Below are 16036 nucleotides of genomic sequence, written 5' to 3'. Positions count from 1 at the left end.
AACTCTGCTTGCTAGATCTGATTTCCAAAGTGCTTGAGTAAGTTTACGCTCAGCAGCAGTGTGTGAAAGGCCTTTGTAGTAGTTTTCTTTTACTGGTACAACAAATTATCATAAACATAGTGGCTTAAAACAACACAAATTTGTCACTTAATAGTTCTGTAGGTCAGTAGCCCAACATGGGTCTCATTGGATTAAAATCCAAGTTTAATTAAGGGCTGCATTTTTTTCTGAAGGTTCTGGGATAATTTAAGTTGTTGGTGGAATATAGTTCCTTGCAGTCATTCGTAGGACTAGGTCGCTATTTCCTTGCTGGCTGTCAGCTGTGGTTGGCGTCTTCTAGAGCCCCCTGCATTCTTTGGCCTGTGGCCCCTTTTCCCATCTTCGGGGCAGCAGCAGCAGGTCCAGCCCCTCTCACACCTCCCGTCTCTCCTGCCTGACATTTCTCTGACTGACTCTTCCACTTTGAAGGGCTCATGAGGATATTTGGGCCCACCCAGATATCCCAAATAATCTCCTTGTTTTAAGTTCTGTAGTCTTAACTGCATTAACGTTCCATTAACAACATTCCTATTGCCATGTAATGTAAAACAGCCACAGGTTCCAATAACTGGGACGTGAACATCCTTATCCCTAATAGCTTATAAATACATTCTTTGTTTTTTTTTAATCTTTTAAAATGATATTTTTAAGCATAAAGTTATACATATGTAGTGTATATATATGATAAAGAAACATACACATATATTAATGTAGCCAAATTTATCAATCTTGTTTTTGTGCTGTTGCCTGCGTTTTCTTCCATGCGTTTCATATTTTCAGTGTTAAACTGTTTGGGATTGTTTTTTTTCCCTGTATAGTGTCAAGTAGATATCTAATTTAATTTTTGCATATAGATAGCCAGTCCTCCTAGCTTTATATACTGAGAAGTCGATTATATCCTCACTGATTTGAAATGCTTCTCATAGTTCAAAGTACCACGTGTGCCTGATTTGGTTTCTAGACTCTCTATTTCTGTTGCATTGGTCTTTGTTGCTAAAACTTTGTCATTTTAATTTTTCCTTTTGTTTTTATCAACAGTGAATATGATATTTATGGGTTCAGGACTGTACCTGAGGATGATGAGGAAGAGAAATTGGTTGCCAAGGTCCGCGCGTTGGATCTGAAGACTCTCTACCTCACAGAAAACCAGGAAGTCTCCACTGGGGTCAAGTGGGAAAACTATTTTGCAAGTACAGTGAACAGGGAGATGATGTGCTCTCCAGAGTTAAAAAACCTCATCCGTGCGGGCATTCCCCACGAGCACCGTTCCAAGGTGTGGAAGTGGTGTGTGGACCGTCACACCAGGAAGTTCAAGGACAACACTGAGCCTGGCCACTTCCAGACCTTGCTGCAGAAGGCGCTGGAGAAACAGAACCCAGCCTCCAAGCAGATTGAGCTGGACTTGCTGCGAACTCTGCCCAACAACAAACATTACTCCTGCCCCACCTCAGAAGGCATACAGAAGTTACGCAATGTCCTCCTCGCCTTCTCCTGGCGGAATCCAGATATCGGCTACTGTCAAGGCCTAAACAGGTGGGTGCACAGCACAAAATGTTCCCATTTGCCATTAGGCAACTTGTAGGCACCGGTGCTGCCTGGCAGCTCCCTCCCTTCCTGGTTGGCCAAGAAAAGTCAATATTTTAAGAGAAAAAAGTAGTTGCAGCAAGCCAGTTTTCATTACACAATATCCCCAGTTCTAGAAGAACTGAGAGAAAAAGCATGCTTTTAGAAAGTATTAAGAACACAAGAGTTAAATTCATTTGAAACTACTTGGAGTCTCATTTTTTCCTGTTTGTTCTCATCGCACTCGGGTTTTGATCAGAAGTTTGATTTTATTAGTTTGTAATGCATGGAGTGGAAATTGGTGGTCACCCGTTGTTTATGCAGTATACAGGATCTTTTTGTGAATCAAGAGGTTGCCCCAAACAATTATTCAGCTGACTGAAACTTAGCCCTTCATGGACTTAAACTTGTTTCCTTTTAAACTAGAACTTTTAACAGGTCTTGCCTACTTCCCTACTTCCATAGGCAGAGGATGCCGAAAAGCCTCTCATGTTTTCTGGGTGATGTAGGCTCATCCTCCTGAGCTGTGCAGGGATGGGACAAGACCTCAGGAGGACTGAGGTTTGCTCCCCACAAAGCTCTTCCTGTCACTGGACTTTGCTGTGACTGCTTCTTACCTGGCTGGCGCGCTTTCTGCTTACTGCTGTCCTTGCAGTTGTCCATTTATATTTCTGTGTAATGAAAGTAGGTAAGCAGGCTTGTTAAAAATATGGATAAAGGTCCAGTGCAGTGGCTCACACCTGTAATCCCAACACTTTGGGAGGCCAAGGTGGAAGGATCGCTTGAGCCCGGGAGTTTGAAACCAGCCTGGGCAACATGGTGAAACCCCGTCCCTACAAAAAAATTGGCTGTGTGCGGTGGGTCACACCTGTAATCCTGGCACTTTGGGAGGTCGAGGCAGGCGGATCACCTGAGGTCAGGAGTTCAAGACCAGCCTGGCCAATATGGTGAGACCCTGTCTCTACTAAAAATACAAAAATTTGCCAGACGGTGGCACATGCCTGTAATCCCAGCTACTCGGGAGGCTGAGGTAAGAGAATCACTTGAACCCGGGAGGCAGATGTTGCAGTGAGCCAGCATTGCACCACTGCACTCCAGCCTGAACAACAGAGCGAGACTCTGTCTAAAAAAAAAAAAAAAAAAAAAACCAAAAAATTAGCTGGGCATGGTGGCATGTGCCTCTAATCCCAGCTACTTGGGAGGTTGAGGTGGGAGGATCGCTTGAGCCCAGGAGGTTGAGGCTGCGGTGAGCTGTGATCACACCACTACACTCCAGCCTGGGCAACACAGTGAGACCCTGTCTCAAAAAAAAAAAAAAAAAAGATATGGATAAAGTAAGAATGAAAAAGTTCTGCATGTGTACCTTAGGAATTCTGTAAGCCATGCATGAGCTGGAGTTCTGAGTGCTGACGTTTGTTATGGCTGCCCACAGGCCTTTTTTGCTCCTGCTCCATGCCAGGTATTGACCTCCAGGTAAGGGTTTTCTATTTGTGTCTGAAATGAGAGTACTGCAGGAAGAAAGGATTTTAAGCTGGAATGTTATTTGGTTAAGACCTGAAACCAAATGGTTTTCAGTAAGTCATTGTCTCTGTGGTGGTGAGGATAGGGCAGCCTCTCTATGTGCCCTCAGAAGGTGAAAGGGACTATAGCTACTCCTAGACAGTCTCCACTTTTAAAAAGCCTGTAAGTAGGATCCTGCCTAATAAAGCAGTTTTGTTTTGCTTAAAGCCACCATTCACATTGCATACTCAATCTAAAAATTCCTGGAAGCTGGAAACCCGTGAAACTCAGGGTCCTGGTGAGGACTTGAGTATGCCTGTTTGGGGTACAGTAATGCTCCATTTATCTGGCATTGTCATGGAATCAGTTTTTTCCTACATAAATGACACTTCCAGATAATTGAAGCTTTCTGTCTACACTTCCGCCCTCACCACCGTTAAAACCTCTGAATTGTAATTCTTTGGGATTTTTTTCTTCACAGTATTTGGTACATGTTCATGGCTTCTGAGCACCCAGAACTTTAGAAGGACAACTGTAGCCTTGTCTAGATGATGGTGATTCAGACCTGTCATCTGGAATATTGGTGAATTTAAGTGATGTCCTCAAAGGCTCTGTCGCTTTCAGACTCTCTACCCCTTCTCCTGGCGCCATCGAGTCCTGTCTCTCAATTTGGTGTCTCTGCTTGCGTGTCTTGTTTTTCTCTCCTCTGTCTCTGCCAGTGGTCACCATTCTCCTTTCCATCCCATCCCTGCATACTTGAGACATCCCCTTCCTGGACTTTTTTTCCATTTAATTTGAGATGAGTTCATTATAGTTTTATCTAAGAAAAATATTCTGAGAAATGGCTTCAGGGATTTTCCCATGAGTGTTGCTTATAAGCTTCGTGTGATGGGCAGAAGTTTTGGATTTCAGCTGAGTAGAGGGAGGCCTTTCTCTCACCTCTTCCTTTCCATCCTGCTGCTCCAGATTCCCGCTTGGAGCCATACCAGGGCTATTGATTAGTGACAGCATGTAAATAGCTGACCCCAGTTTCCGTTATGAACAACAAAGCAAGTGAGACACATGGTCCTCTTCCCCTGCTGTGCATGCAGTGGGCACAGCGCTGTTAGCTCCTTTGGGGTGCCCTCATCTGCAGCCCATTTTATTCCTTCAGCCTGGAAGCAGGATGGTGTTGGGAAAGCTGTTTTAAACCATTCTGTATTCTTTGTTACTTACATTCACATCTGGAATTTTTGTGCATAAAAGGGTTATTTGGAACTTCTTGATGAACTCAAAGAATCAGCTGCATTTGCAAAAATCTTTTTTTTTTTTTTTTTTTGAGACGGAGTCTGGCTCTCTCGCCCAGGCCGGAGTGCAGTGGAGCTATCTCGGCTCACTGCAAGCTCTGCCTCCCGGGTTCACGCCATTCTCCTGCCTCAGCCTCCCAGGTAGCTTGGACTACAGGCGCCCGCCACCGCGCCTGGCTAATTTTTTTGTATCTTTAGTAGAGACAGGGTTTCACCGTGTCAGCCAGGATGGTCTCAATCTCCTGACCTCGTGATCTGCCCGCCTCGGCCTCCCAAAGTGCTGGGATTACAGGCGTGAGCCATTGCGCCCAGCCGCAAAAATCTTATAATGAAAACTTTTTTTTAATGAGGCTGGCTGATCATTGGGAAACAATTTCATCTTTGAACAAAAACCAAATGAAAGTGGGGAAAAGTAGCTTTGCTTCTCAAATTTTAGGAAATGCACCCCCTCCTTTTTTTTTTTTAATGAGACAAGGTCTTGTTCTGTTGCACAGGCTGGAGTGCAGTAGTGCGATTATCATTCACTGTAGCCTCCACCTCCTGGGCTCAAGTGATCCTCCTGCCTCAGCCTACTGGGTAGCTAGGACTACAGGTGTGCGTCGCTACTCCTGGCTGATTTTTGGTTTTTTGTTTTTTTAGAGATGGAGTCTTGCTATGTTGCCCAGGCTGGTCTTAAACTCCTAGCCTCAAGTGATCTTCCTGTCTTGGCCTCCCAGAGTGCTAGTATAATAGGCGTGAGCCATTAAGCCAGGTCCTTATTATTCTTTATTGGAGAACTAGAAATAATTTTGGCCATGAGAGAAAAAGTGGCTTAAAGCAGATGGTCTCTGTGGAGACTGTAGTAGCAGCTGTCTGTGCCTGGGCTCTCATCTTGTCCTCCCTTTGCTTGTAGGTTGGTGGCAGTGGCCCTCCTGTACCTGGAACAAGAAGATGCTTTCTGGTGTCTCGTTACCATAGTGGAAGTTTTCATGCCTCGAGACTATTATACAAAGACTCTTTTAGGATCCCAGGTAGTTCTGAAAATTCTGTGTTTTAGTCACCACTTTTAGAATTGCAGCTGAAATGTGACCTGAATTAAACCTGCGGTCAGGGTGAGGGGTTGCTTTGTGTATGTGACTTCAGAGACTGATTCCTGAAGACAGCAGGCCACATCTCAGAGGCTGTCCCCAGTCATGGCCTGCTGTTTGTGACTGAGGCCGAGTTGGGCTCATTCAGCCCCCTGCGAACCAGCAGAGACAGACCCGTCCTGCAGGCCTAACATTGTGTTCACTGCTCTGCACTGTCTTCCCCGGACACAGGCCTACCAGTGGGCTGAGTCATAATCCAGGTGTGCTTGGGTGACTGGTGTGTTAGCTCAGGCTCTCAAGAAGCAATGTCAGGCTGGAATGAGACAAACCAGAGACTTCGGCGGGGGGAAGCCCCTGTGGAGGACAAGGGACAGAGAAGTTCCAGCCCCAGGAAGGGAGGAGGATGGGGAGGAGAGTCCCAGACCCTGTGCAGTGACCACCATGCAGTCCTGAGGAAGTCTGGGCAGGGCCAGTGGGGAGCCCTCAAGCCAAGGGCAGTGACCAAGGCACCTGCCTCCACAGATGGGCTGCATTCCTGCCGCTGCCGCACCCATGCCCTGCTGCTGGGAATGAACGTGGTGATGCACCAGAGGGGCAGCAGTGGGGCCTGCAGTCACCTCCTGCAGTGGGAGTCTGAGTGGCGCATTTCATGCCATCCACACCTGGAGTCTGACGCCAGGGGCCAGGGCAGAGTGATAAGGGCTGGGAGAGCCCAGTGTTTCTGCCTTTGCTTGGGACAGTCCTGGCCCTGGACCAGATCCTTGGCCCTTGAATCATCCCTAGGCTGGGCTGGGGCTGCTGCCAGCACTGGCTTCCCCGTAAGCCGGCCCTTCGCATGTGGCCCAGACTCAGGCAGCTTCTCTCTTAGCCACAGCTGTCCCCGTGTGTGCCTGCCCTGTCTCGTGTCTCTTCTCCAGGTCTGTGCCCCCGCCTGGCCTGCCTGCTCACAGCCTCTCCTTGCCCTTCTCCTGCACCACTTGGTGTTGCAAGGCCTGGCCCTGCAGGCCAGCGGGAGGTGCTGGCAGGAGACTGAAGGGTGACAGGAGGGACTGAAGGGGTTTTCCCTCTCCCCATCTCGGGCACTGCCTCTGAAGGTGGCTTTGTCTCCTCTGTGCCCAGCTCCTGTCCGGTGGGTCCTCTGTGCCAACAGCTGACCCCACCGGCTCCCTTCATTGCTCCCCTGCAGGGTGGCTTTCTGCCCTTGCTATAACTCTGGGCTGCCTCACTGTCAGCTGTTTGGCTTCTCAGCTTTTCTCTCACCAGTGTGGCCAGCCCCTGGATGACATTCACTCTGTGACACATATTTAGAGGGATTTCTGTTTTCCTGGCTGGACCCTGAGCAAGTGTTCTTTGCATTCGCATTTCTGCCTTTGGAGGGAGGGTCCTCATTATTGCCTCCTGTTCCCGCCTGTGCTCCTCACATCTCTAGCTCCCCAGGCTGGAAACTCAAGCCATCCTGGACTCCTGCCTCCTTCCCCTGTATCCCTGTCGTCACCATTTCTAGTGCTGCCGCCTGCCTGGAAGCTTACATCTGTGTCCCCTTTTTGTCCCTTTCACCACAGTGGGGCCACCGGCCTGTCTCCATCACTGCAGTTGCCTCTCTCCTTTCTTCCTGCTGCCACTCACCCACAGCTCCAGTTTAACCTCTGTCTCACTCAGGTATTCAGTCTCATCCCTCTGCTGCTGTTGTCTGGGGCTCCTCAGGGTAAAGATGCCTTCGAACGCTGCCAGGGCCCTCCTTCCTGCCCGCTGATGGGGCGTGTGTTCTCTGGGCATGCCCATCCTCTGGGTACTCTCCTACATAATCCCTCTACTGGAACAACATCCCATCGCTCATCTCCCTGGGAAGCTCCTGTGCAGCCTTAGCACACAGGCCATCTCCTTTGTGAGTGGTCCTTCCCGCCCCAAGGCAGGCACGGGCCCCTGCTGCTGTTCCCGCTGCTCGGGTGCAGGCCTCCAGGACAGTGGCCACCTGATTGGATCATCCTTGTGTGCCTGCTTGTCCTCCAGCTAGTCAGTGGTACCTGAGGGCCACGGCCCTGTCTTTCCTTTTTCTTTCTTTTTCCTTTTCCTGTATGCCTGGCACCCCACACAGTAAATGTTTGAACTTACATGAGCTACTCTTTGACCAGGGAAAGAGAGTTGGCATTTACTGAGCCCTGGCCCCGTGCCAGCAGCTGTACAACTGCACAGAGCCTGCACGCTTGAGCCATCAGTATCCCTATTTGACTTGGGAGAAAACTGGGAGCCGAAGACACTAATAAGCAATTTGCCTGAGGTGCCACCGATGAGGGGCTGAGCTGGGGTTTGAACTCAGGCCTCTGCAACTCTGGGCCTAAACTTGCCTGTCTGTGCCCACGGCCTCCTAGAACATCACAGGAGGATGGCAAGAGAGCTGGAGCTCTCACCTTCCCAGAGGGTGGGCTTTCGCCACAGCTGCCCCCTTCAGGTCCCTGTCCCAGTTTCTCAGATGTCAGTGGATCCCAGGAGAAGCTCATCTGGTCTCCCTGTGATTGCTTCACTTGCTAATTACCCAAGAAATGTATTGTTCTGTTGCGTTGGTGTGTAGGAAATGAACAGCAACAGGAAGAGGCAGCAGTCAGTCGGGTGGGATTAGAGGGTCAGTAAAGAAAGTTTTGTGTGTTCATGGGCACCTGAAAGCTAATAGCTTTCAAAGACTCAAATTTAAAATATCAAATGACTCAATGTTTCAGAATAAGAAAAATGAAGCATTGATCTTTCTTAATTCCATTGAGGTGTGGTCAAGCACATTGGTTAGGAACTTGGGGGGAGGGTCACATGTAGTAGATCACAACCCAGGCCCTACCTCCTGTGAGCTGTGGAGCTTGGACACATCATTTAACATCTCTGTGCCTCAGTTTCCCCATATGTAAGATGAGAGTAATACCCCCCTCACATAGACTTTTGAGGTTGAATTGAGATGATGCATTAAAAAAAGTTGAATGTAATGCTTAGAACATTGTAAAAACTCAATAAAAGTTGGTAGTATTGTTATAGGGGAAGACCTATTTTAAATGTCTGGATTTAAGATAAAATTTGCATCACATTGTCACATAAACATAAATGTAAAATCTAAGGAGACTTTTTCCCCCCTGACTATACAAGTAATAGATGATCACTAAACAGAAGTCAGGCAGTATAGAAAGATGTTAAGAAGAAAATGAAAATTGCCTGTTATTCTACCAACTGGAGAACCGTGGTTAGCATTTTGATGTATTTCCTTTTGCTTTTCTCCCCCTAGTTCACATAGGTATCCAAATTGAGAGCACAGTGTATCCTGGCTTGTTCACATTATAGCATGAGCATTTTCCCATGTCATTTTATACTGTGTACCCATCCTATTTGGTGGCCTAATATTCCATCAGGTGGGTGCTAGAATGTGTTTAATTATCCTCCCACTTATCGATGGCCATTGCGTAAGGTGGCTCTTAAAATGCGGATAGCTTTGAGTGTGCTGTCAACCCTGAGCACTGGGCTTTGCCAATCACTGTCAAACTGCCTCCTGCCAGAACCAAGTGCCCGAGCCCCGTGCCCACTGCTACTGCAGTCCACATGCTTGTCAGCTTTTCCATTCATTCCATGCTTTGAGTGCATGTTCTGTGCCAGGACCTTGCTAGGTGCTGAGGACACAGAGATGAATGACACAGTCATTCCATGTCCTCCAGAGCTCAGTGGAGGAGGGAGCTTGAACAGAGGCCAGAGCAAGCGTTTCCTGGCAGCCTGCTCCACACCAGCCCTCCGCCAAGCACCCGAGCAGCCTTAAGAGTGAGGCACAGTCTGCCTCCTAGTTGGGAGAAGAGATGTGTACAAGGATCTTCTCCCATGTCAGGGCCAGCTGATATGCCCCTCCCTCTTGGACGTCTGCAGCTGGATACTCCAGGCTGAATGAATTACATCATCATTAGCTGGTCTTACAGTGAGCCGTCCATCTCCCTTGCCACTTTACAGCTCCTGAAAGGCAGCTCCTGGCTGGGCATGAAGTATAGGAAAATATGTACAGTTAACCCTTGAACAACGTGGGTTTGAACTGCATGGGTCCACTTACATGTGGATTTTTTCAACTACACACAGATTGAAAATACAGTATTCACAGGATGTGAAACCCTCTTATACGGAGGGCCAGCTTTTTGTGTATACACCAAGGGATGACTATAGTTGTTTTTTACACTATGGATAGAGAAATTGGTTTAGTAGGTTGGTACTAGGTTTTTATTTTTATTTTTTTCCCATAAAATCCAATTGTCCAATTGATTAGAATTAAAAGCATCAAAGTGTAGTCCACTGTGTGAGATTAAGTATTGTTTTGTGAAACATTTGTTTCTGTTTTGTACACGTGCATACCGGTTCACGTGGAGTGGGTGATGGTTGAAGATGCATGTTTTTTTGTGAGGAAAGCCCCTGGCTAGGAAAGCCCCTGGCTGACAGGATAGCGTCTTGACTCCTCAGTGTGACGCAGGGGTGTCTGTGGCCAGCTTCTGCCTGGCTGTGCTGCCTCACCTCCCAGCCCTCCTGCCTGGAAGCCTGAGCTCTAGCTGTAGGAGCGGTTTCTCCTCAGTGCTTGGCGGGGACCTGTCCATGGTTCCACAGGGCTGTATGAACACATCGTTACCAGGGCCTGGCCATGGTTAGGATGGTCCACGTGTCTGGCCTTCCCTTCTCATCTTTTAACTCCTTGAGGTCAGGGTTGAACTTTATTCAACGCTCTGCCCAGCACTGGCCCCGTGCCTGACACAGAGTGGCAGTAACCAGGTATTGCTCGTCTGTCGTGCGCAGGTAGTTTATATAAGCCTCATTTAATCCTCACAGTAGTCCAGTAAGAGAGAGGTAATTAACTATTTTCCAGATGAGGCACAGAGCCGTTTAGAGCATAATTTGCTAAAAGCCACCCAGCTAGTAAGTGGTAGAGCTGAGATTCAGACTCAGGTTCATGTGACGCCGGAGTCCTCGCCACCCCCACTGCACATGCAGCCCAGCAAATGTTTGTTGAATGGATGTGGTGATGCTGCTTCCTTTTTGGAAGCAGAATCCCCATCTGCCCAGGATTCTAGTTTGTGGCCCTTTGTGTCAACATCTCACGTATTTACTTGTGGATTGGCAAGGCTGACTGTCCTACCTGCTGCTTGCAGTGGCCTATTTCCCAGGGCATTTTGAGTGCAGGAGTTGGTTTCAGGTTACAGACTCCCCTACTCCCATGCCCTGTGGAAAGCATGCTGTTCAGCGGACACTCGGTGTGTACCTGCAGTGCACGAGGTCAGCGCTGCTGGAACATAGTAGTCTGGCTCCGTGATGGGCCCCACGGTGCATTTGGAACAGTTGTGCTGCTGTCACTTGGGCTCCACCCCCAGGCTCTCAGGTTGCGCGTCTGCTCGTCTGCTTACCCGGTGACCTGGCAGGCCTGATACACTTCTCCCCTTTGTTCCCTCTCCAGGTGGACCAGCGGGTGTTCAGAGACCTTATGAGTGAGAAGCTGCCTCGGTTGCATGGCCACTTTGAACAGTACAAAGTCGACTACACTCTCATCACTTTCAACTGGTTTCTGGTGGTATTTGTGGATAGTGTCGTTAGTGACATCCTCTTTAAAATATGGGACTCTTTCCTTTATGAAGGACCAAAGGTGAGTTAGCTCAGCTCAGCTATTTTCAGATATACACACTTGACAACCGTCAGCAGCGTTGGTGGCGGTAGAGCGGCTGGCTCACCTGGAACTTATGAGGGTTACCATGGTGCCCAAGGGATCTCAGCACGGCCTGCACTAGATCTGGGTCCAGGGTATCAGGAAACCACAGTCATTTGTTCATGTATCAGAAACATTCAACCCACATCAAGCCCTGTGATAGGCGCTGGGAGCTATGGCTTACAGTTTGAGCCTGAGCCTCACCATCTGTCAAATGGCTGGTGGTGTTACCCCATCATATGGAGGAGGAGATGGAGGCCCAGAGATCTAATAAGCAGGGGATTAGGGGGGCTAATGAGGGGGACTAACTTGGGGGAGCCAACTTCAGAGCCTTACTGCCCATGAGCCTCCCACCCGCTCTGTTGTATGTTTTTTAAAAATCAGTTTTTGAATAAGGAATATATTTACATATTAAACCCTAATTGTATAAACAGGTGTTTGTAATGGAGTGGAGGCCCCTCCCTAGTCTTCTAGTTACTCTTCTCAATTTATTCTTTACCTTAGCCGGGCACAGTGGCATGTGCCAATTGTCTCAGCTACTTGGGAGGCTGAGGTAGGAGGATCATTTGAGCTGAGGAGTTAAAATATAGCCTGGGCAACACAGCAAGACCCAGAAAACAAACTAAATTAGAGAAAGTACAGGCCCTTAGATATGGGGAAAGCAGTTTGTTCCAAAGCTGCTTGAACTTGCAAGACTACCAGGAGTCCATTCCCTCTAACCTCTAATGTACCCCAAACACAAATTAAAAAAAAAAAAAAGAAAGGCCAGGCACAGTGGCTGACACTTGTAATCCTAGCACTTTGGGAGGCCGAGGTGGGTGGATCATGAGGTCAGGAGATGGAGACCATCGTGGCTAACATGGTGAAACCCCATCTGTACTCAAAATACACAAATAGCTGGGTGTGGTGGCGGGCGCCTGTAGTCCCAGCTACTCAGGAGGCTGAGGCAGGAGAATCACTTGAACCTGGGAGGCAGAGGTTGCAGTGAGCCAAGATTGCACTGCTGCATTCCAGCCTGGGTGGCAGAGCAAGACTGTATCTCAAAAATAAAAATAAAATTTAAAAAAAACTCCTTCGCTATCTTCAAAAGTGCACCAGTTGAGATGGAAACAGCCTCTGTAGGTGGGACTTTCTAAGAGTTTCAGAATCAGAAAACCTTGATTTTGGTTTTATTTTAAAATGATTCCTTATGTTTGTTCTTTATGCTTTATTGACTAGAAGTGTTTTCTGAGTATGAAAGGATTCCACAAAGATCTCCTATAAGGAGATTTTTGGTTTGGGCTGATGTGTTGTTGAAAACCAGCAGGGTTTATTTTCCTGTAATAAAGGAGTCTTGGCCTAGCCAGTGAAAATTGCCCCTCAGGTCAATAGTCTTTCCCCAGGGCGGGGACCGTGCAAGCCATGTCCCCCTGTCCCCAGTAGGGCCAGCACCCCCCTGGAGTCCAGCCTTGTGCCTGGACCCACAGGGTTTTTCCACTAACAGATTTCCCTGTTTATTCCACAGGTTATTTTCCGTTTTGCTCTGGCACTTTTTAAGTACAAGGAAGAGGAGATTTTGAAATTGCAAGATTCGATGTCTATATTTAAGTATCTCCGCTACTTCACTCGCACTATCCTTGATGCTAGGTGAGTCCTGGGGAGTTCTCAGATGTCAAGGAGAGCAGGAAGCCTGACCCCTGCCTCCTTGAGAGCAGCCTGTCCTTGCTGTCTTCCAACTCAGAGCCATCCCCGGTGTACAGTGTTGGAGAGGGCATTGCTTTCCAGGGAAAAGAGAGCAAGGGGTGTGAGCCCCAAGTAGCCTTACCTAGGAGGAACTGAGATGAGGATTCTGTCCTTTATCCTACAAACATAAATCCCAACAACGAACAGCAATAGTTTCATTTGTCTAGAAAGCATTTACTGAGTACCTGCTTTGTGGTAGGGTCTGTGCTGGGCACTGAGGATGACAGATGGAGAGTAAGGCCTGTCCTGGAAGACCTTGCTGGGGACACTGTTGCGCATCGTTTGATCCATGCTGTGGTAGAGGGATCCCAGGCCGGAGAAAGGCCAAATAAGCTGGGCAAGGGGCAGCAAGGAAACAGTATGGGGACAGGGGGTCCTTCAGGAGTGGTGGCGCAGAGCTGTGGGGCACGTGTGTTTGGGGAAGTGTGGAGGCAGCTCAGCCCGGCTGGTGCCAGTGTGGCTGGGCCATAGCAGAGCTGGGCTGTCAGGGTGATTGCAGACTTCTCTCAGGACTTGAGGCTTCATCCTGAGTGCTGGGAAGTCCTGCAGGGTTAGGCAAGAGACAGACAGGTCAGATTGGGGCAGGACTGGTGGCTGTTAGAGGGCTCTAGGGGGAGAGGTGGTGGCCTGGAGGTAGGTGGTCCCACAGATGGAGAAGGGGGGTAGATTGAAGAGAGGGAGGGAGGAATTTGACTTGGAGGACCCCTGAGTTTCTGGCCTGGGAGGCCAGGTGTTCGGGAACCCTCCCTGACCACACAGTCATTGCCTGTTCTGGGCCATCCTCGTCTGTATGTCCCCTGGACTGCAGCTGTTGGCTGCTCTGACCCTGAGAGCCGATTTGGACAATGGGAGCTGAGGTGCTGGCTGAGGCCATGCCAGGCTTCCTGGAGGTCGTCGCTATTTTTAGAGTCTTTTATTGGGGAGTGGGTTTGTAATAGTTTCAGGCTTACTAATAGCACCAACAACAGTGCCCTGATTTCTGCCAAATGAGGAGGGATATGGGAATCATATTTGCTGGGGAAAGTTTGATTCTGAGTCCTGCGGTGAGCCTGGAGGGTTTCTGTTCATCTCGTGTTGGGTCAGGATTGCCGAGAGTGACAGGGAGTGAGCTCGCCCATGCCAACAGCTAGGGCTGTGTTGGGAGCGCCGCTGCCCTCAGTTCTGTACTGGGTCCCAGGCGCTGCCAGGAGGAGCGGAGGTGAGTGGGCGTGGCTCTGGTGAGTGCCCGCCCTTCCCTGGCACCGCAGGCCAACCTGGCCCCTCCCACACTGCTGGGCCTTGCATGGTCCTGCAGCGCCTCCTTCTGAGTGGCTCGCGGTACGGTCTCCCCTGCAGCTTGCTTTAGAAAGCAGGGTCGCCACACCAACAGGTGCTTTAAGGAGTGCCAAGGCGGCGGCAGGCTCCCCGCTGTTATCAAGACTGCAAGGGCCCATAATCCGCCTCTGGGCTAGAGCCTCAGTGTTTTAATGAGCTCCCCAGACTAGTGGTTGCAAGGAGGCCAGTCCTGCAGCACAGCGATCGGCCTTCAGAAACACAGGGAGGGAGTTGTGTGGTCAGCTGCATTCAGGAGACGGGAGTTACACAGGATTGAACCATGTTCTGCAGCAGGACTTCTAGGAGCCTTTTAAGGCGCTGAGCATCGTCTCCCAAATTTAGCTGACCATGGGGCACCTTCTCATTTCCCAGAGGAACCTTCCAGGCCTGAGGCAGAGGTGGGGTCTGGCGTCCCGGGTGCCAGCCTGGGCCGAGGGGCCTCTGTCAGCTCCTGACTGAGGAACAAATGAAGAATTATACTTCGGGCTCGTGTTCTGCAGCACAGGAGGGTTGGGCGCCGTAGGTTTGGGGTTTGTGGGGGCTGTGAGCTGACAGCTGTTGGGGAGAAAGGACTGGTGGTGGGGACCCTGTGCCCCATTCACACGGAGCCTCCTCCCGCCTGCTGGGGCTGGCAGCCTGGTCTGCAGAGCCAGGCAGGAGGCGGAACCCGAGAAATCCACACGCGGGGACCCCTGTGCTTGGGCGTTCTCTGTTCTCTGGTGCTCCCGTGTTCCAGAACACACACTGGGGAATTCAGAATTTAAATAAAGCTGGCCTTTCTGACCTTAAGCCTCTGGACGAGAGTTAAGCATGTCCAGGTAGTAGTGGGTGTTTTGAAACATAAAAGGTTGCACCCTCGTGTGTGCCTTGTGTTAAAAGGAGCCCACGCAGCCGACGGCAGCAGGAGCAAATGGCCTGCTCTGATGGGGACAGGCAGGAAGTCCTTCGGGGCATTTCTGTTTCATCACAGCTTTTCCTGGGGCTGGTGAGTCTGTTGGGCCTTTGGTTGACAGGGAAGCGCATGAGCCCATGTTGGTGGATACAAAGCATTTGGGGCCTGGCAGAATCCAGAGAGGGGAAGAAGGTGGCCCTAGGAACTGGCCTATTTTGTGATCCCCAGAGACCAGTGTGGCTGACCCATTAGTGCTACAAATCCATAGCCAGGCCTCAGGACAGCTTTTGGTCTTGTTTTTATTAAGCCACTGACCAGTGGTTAGGAGCAAGTGGATCATAACCTTAACATTTTTATTGAAAATTGGAGCCTTGACCTGGGGATGTGAAACCCACAAGCTGCACATTTCTCTGTAGACTGCATCTGGACACTTGTCACATTGCCAACTGGGTCTGACAGTCATCGCCAGGACTGCCTGGGCCTGTGTTCATTCCCAGTCAATGAGTCCTGGGACACAGACGTCCCGGACTCGTGCCCGGTGCCAGGCCTCATGCCCGCCCAAGGATGAAGACATACCTGCCATCACCATGCAAGTGCCGGGAGCTCTTCTCAGGGCTTATGTGTGGGAACACGAGTAATCCCACACCCTAGGAGGTGGCACTACTCTTACCCCAGTGTGCAGATGAAGATCAGAGGCCAGAAAAGGGGGGTGACTTCAGTCACACAGCAAGCATGTGGCAGAGCTGGAGTCCAGGTCGTCATTCTGAGCCTGCCCCTGGCTGGGCCATTGTGCTTTGTCACCTCTCTACAGAAGGTGGGCCTCATCCCCTACATCAGGCCCCAAGCCTGGCCAGCGCTCTTCCCACCCTGCCCCAGGCCACCTGCTATGCCTGTGAGGGCTGTGTGTGAGCACTCTCTGGAGCGCCGCTGATTCTCTTGTCTCTCCCCTGCGTCCTGC

At 49.7% G+C, this 16036-nt stretch overlaps 1 protein-coding gene across 16 annotated transcripts in view; it reads left to right on the top strand.

Moving 5' to 3' along the window:
- TBC1D2B (TBC1 domain family member 2B) overlaps positions 1 to 16036 on the top strand; it is an 82727-nt gene that overhangs the window by 63317 nt on the left and 3374 nt on the right. For 14 of the 16 annotated variants that reach the window (XM_047432269.1, NM_001387143.1, XM_011521387.3 and 11 more), the window contains 4 exons: positions 1078 to 1572; positions 5281 to 5398; positions 10905 to 11090; positions 12655 to 12776. In XM_047432269.1, the coding sequence (XP_047288225.1) occupies positions 1078 to 1572; positions 5281 to 5398; positions 10905 to 11090; positions 12655 to 12776 (921 nt within the window). Of the gene's footprint in view, positions 1 to 1077; positions 1573 to 5280; positions 5399 to 10904; positions 11091 to 12654; positions 12777 to 15494; positions 16034 to 16036 lie in introns of those variants that run through there. The other 2 variants (XM_047432267.1, XM_047432268.1) reach the window with 2 other exon arrangements.

Source organism: Homo sapiens, chromosome 15 (genome assembly GCF_000001405.40).
Source record: "Homo sapiens chromosome 15, GRCh38.p14 Primary Assembly".
Classification (NCBI taxonomy): domain Eukaryota; kingdom Metazoa; phylum Chordata; class Mammalia; order Primates; family Hominidae; genus Homo; species Homo sapiens.
Note: the sequence above shows the minus strand (reverse complement) of the source record. Positions and strands in the feature narration are given on the sequence as shown.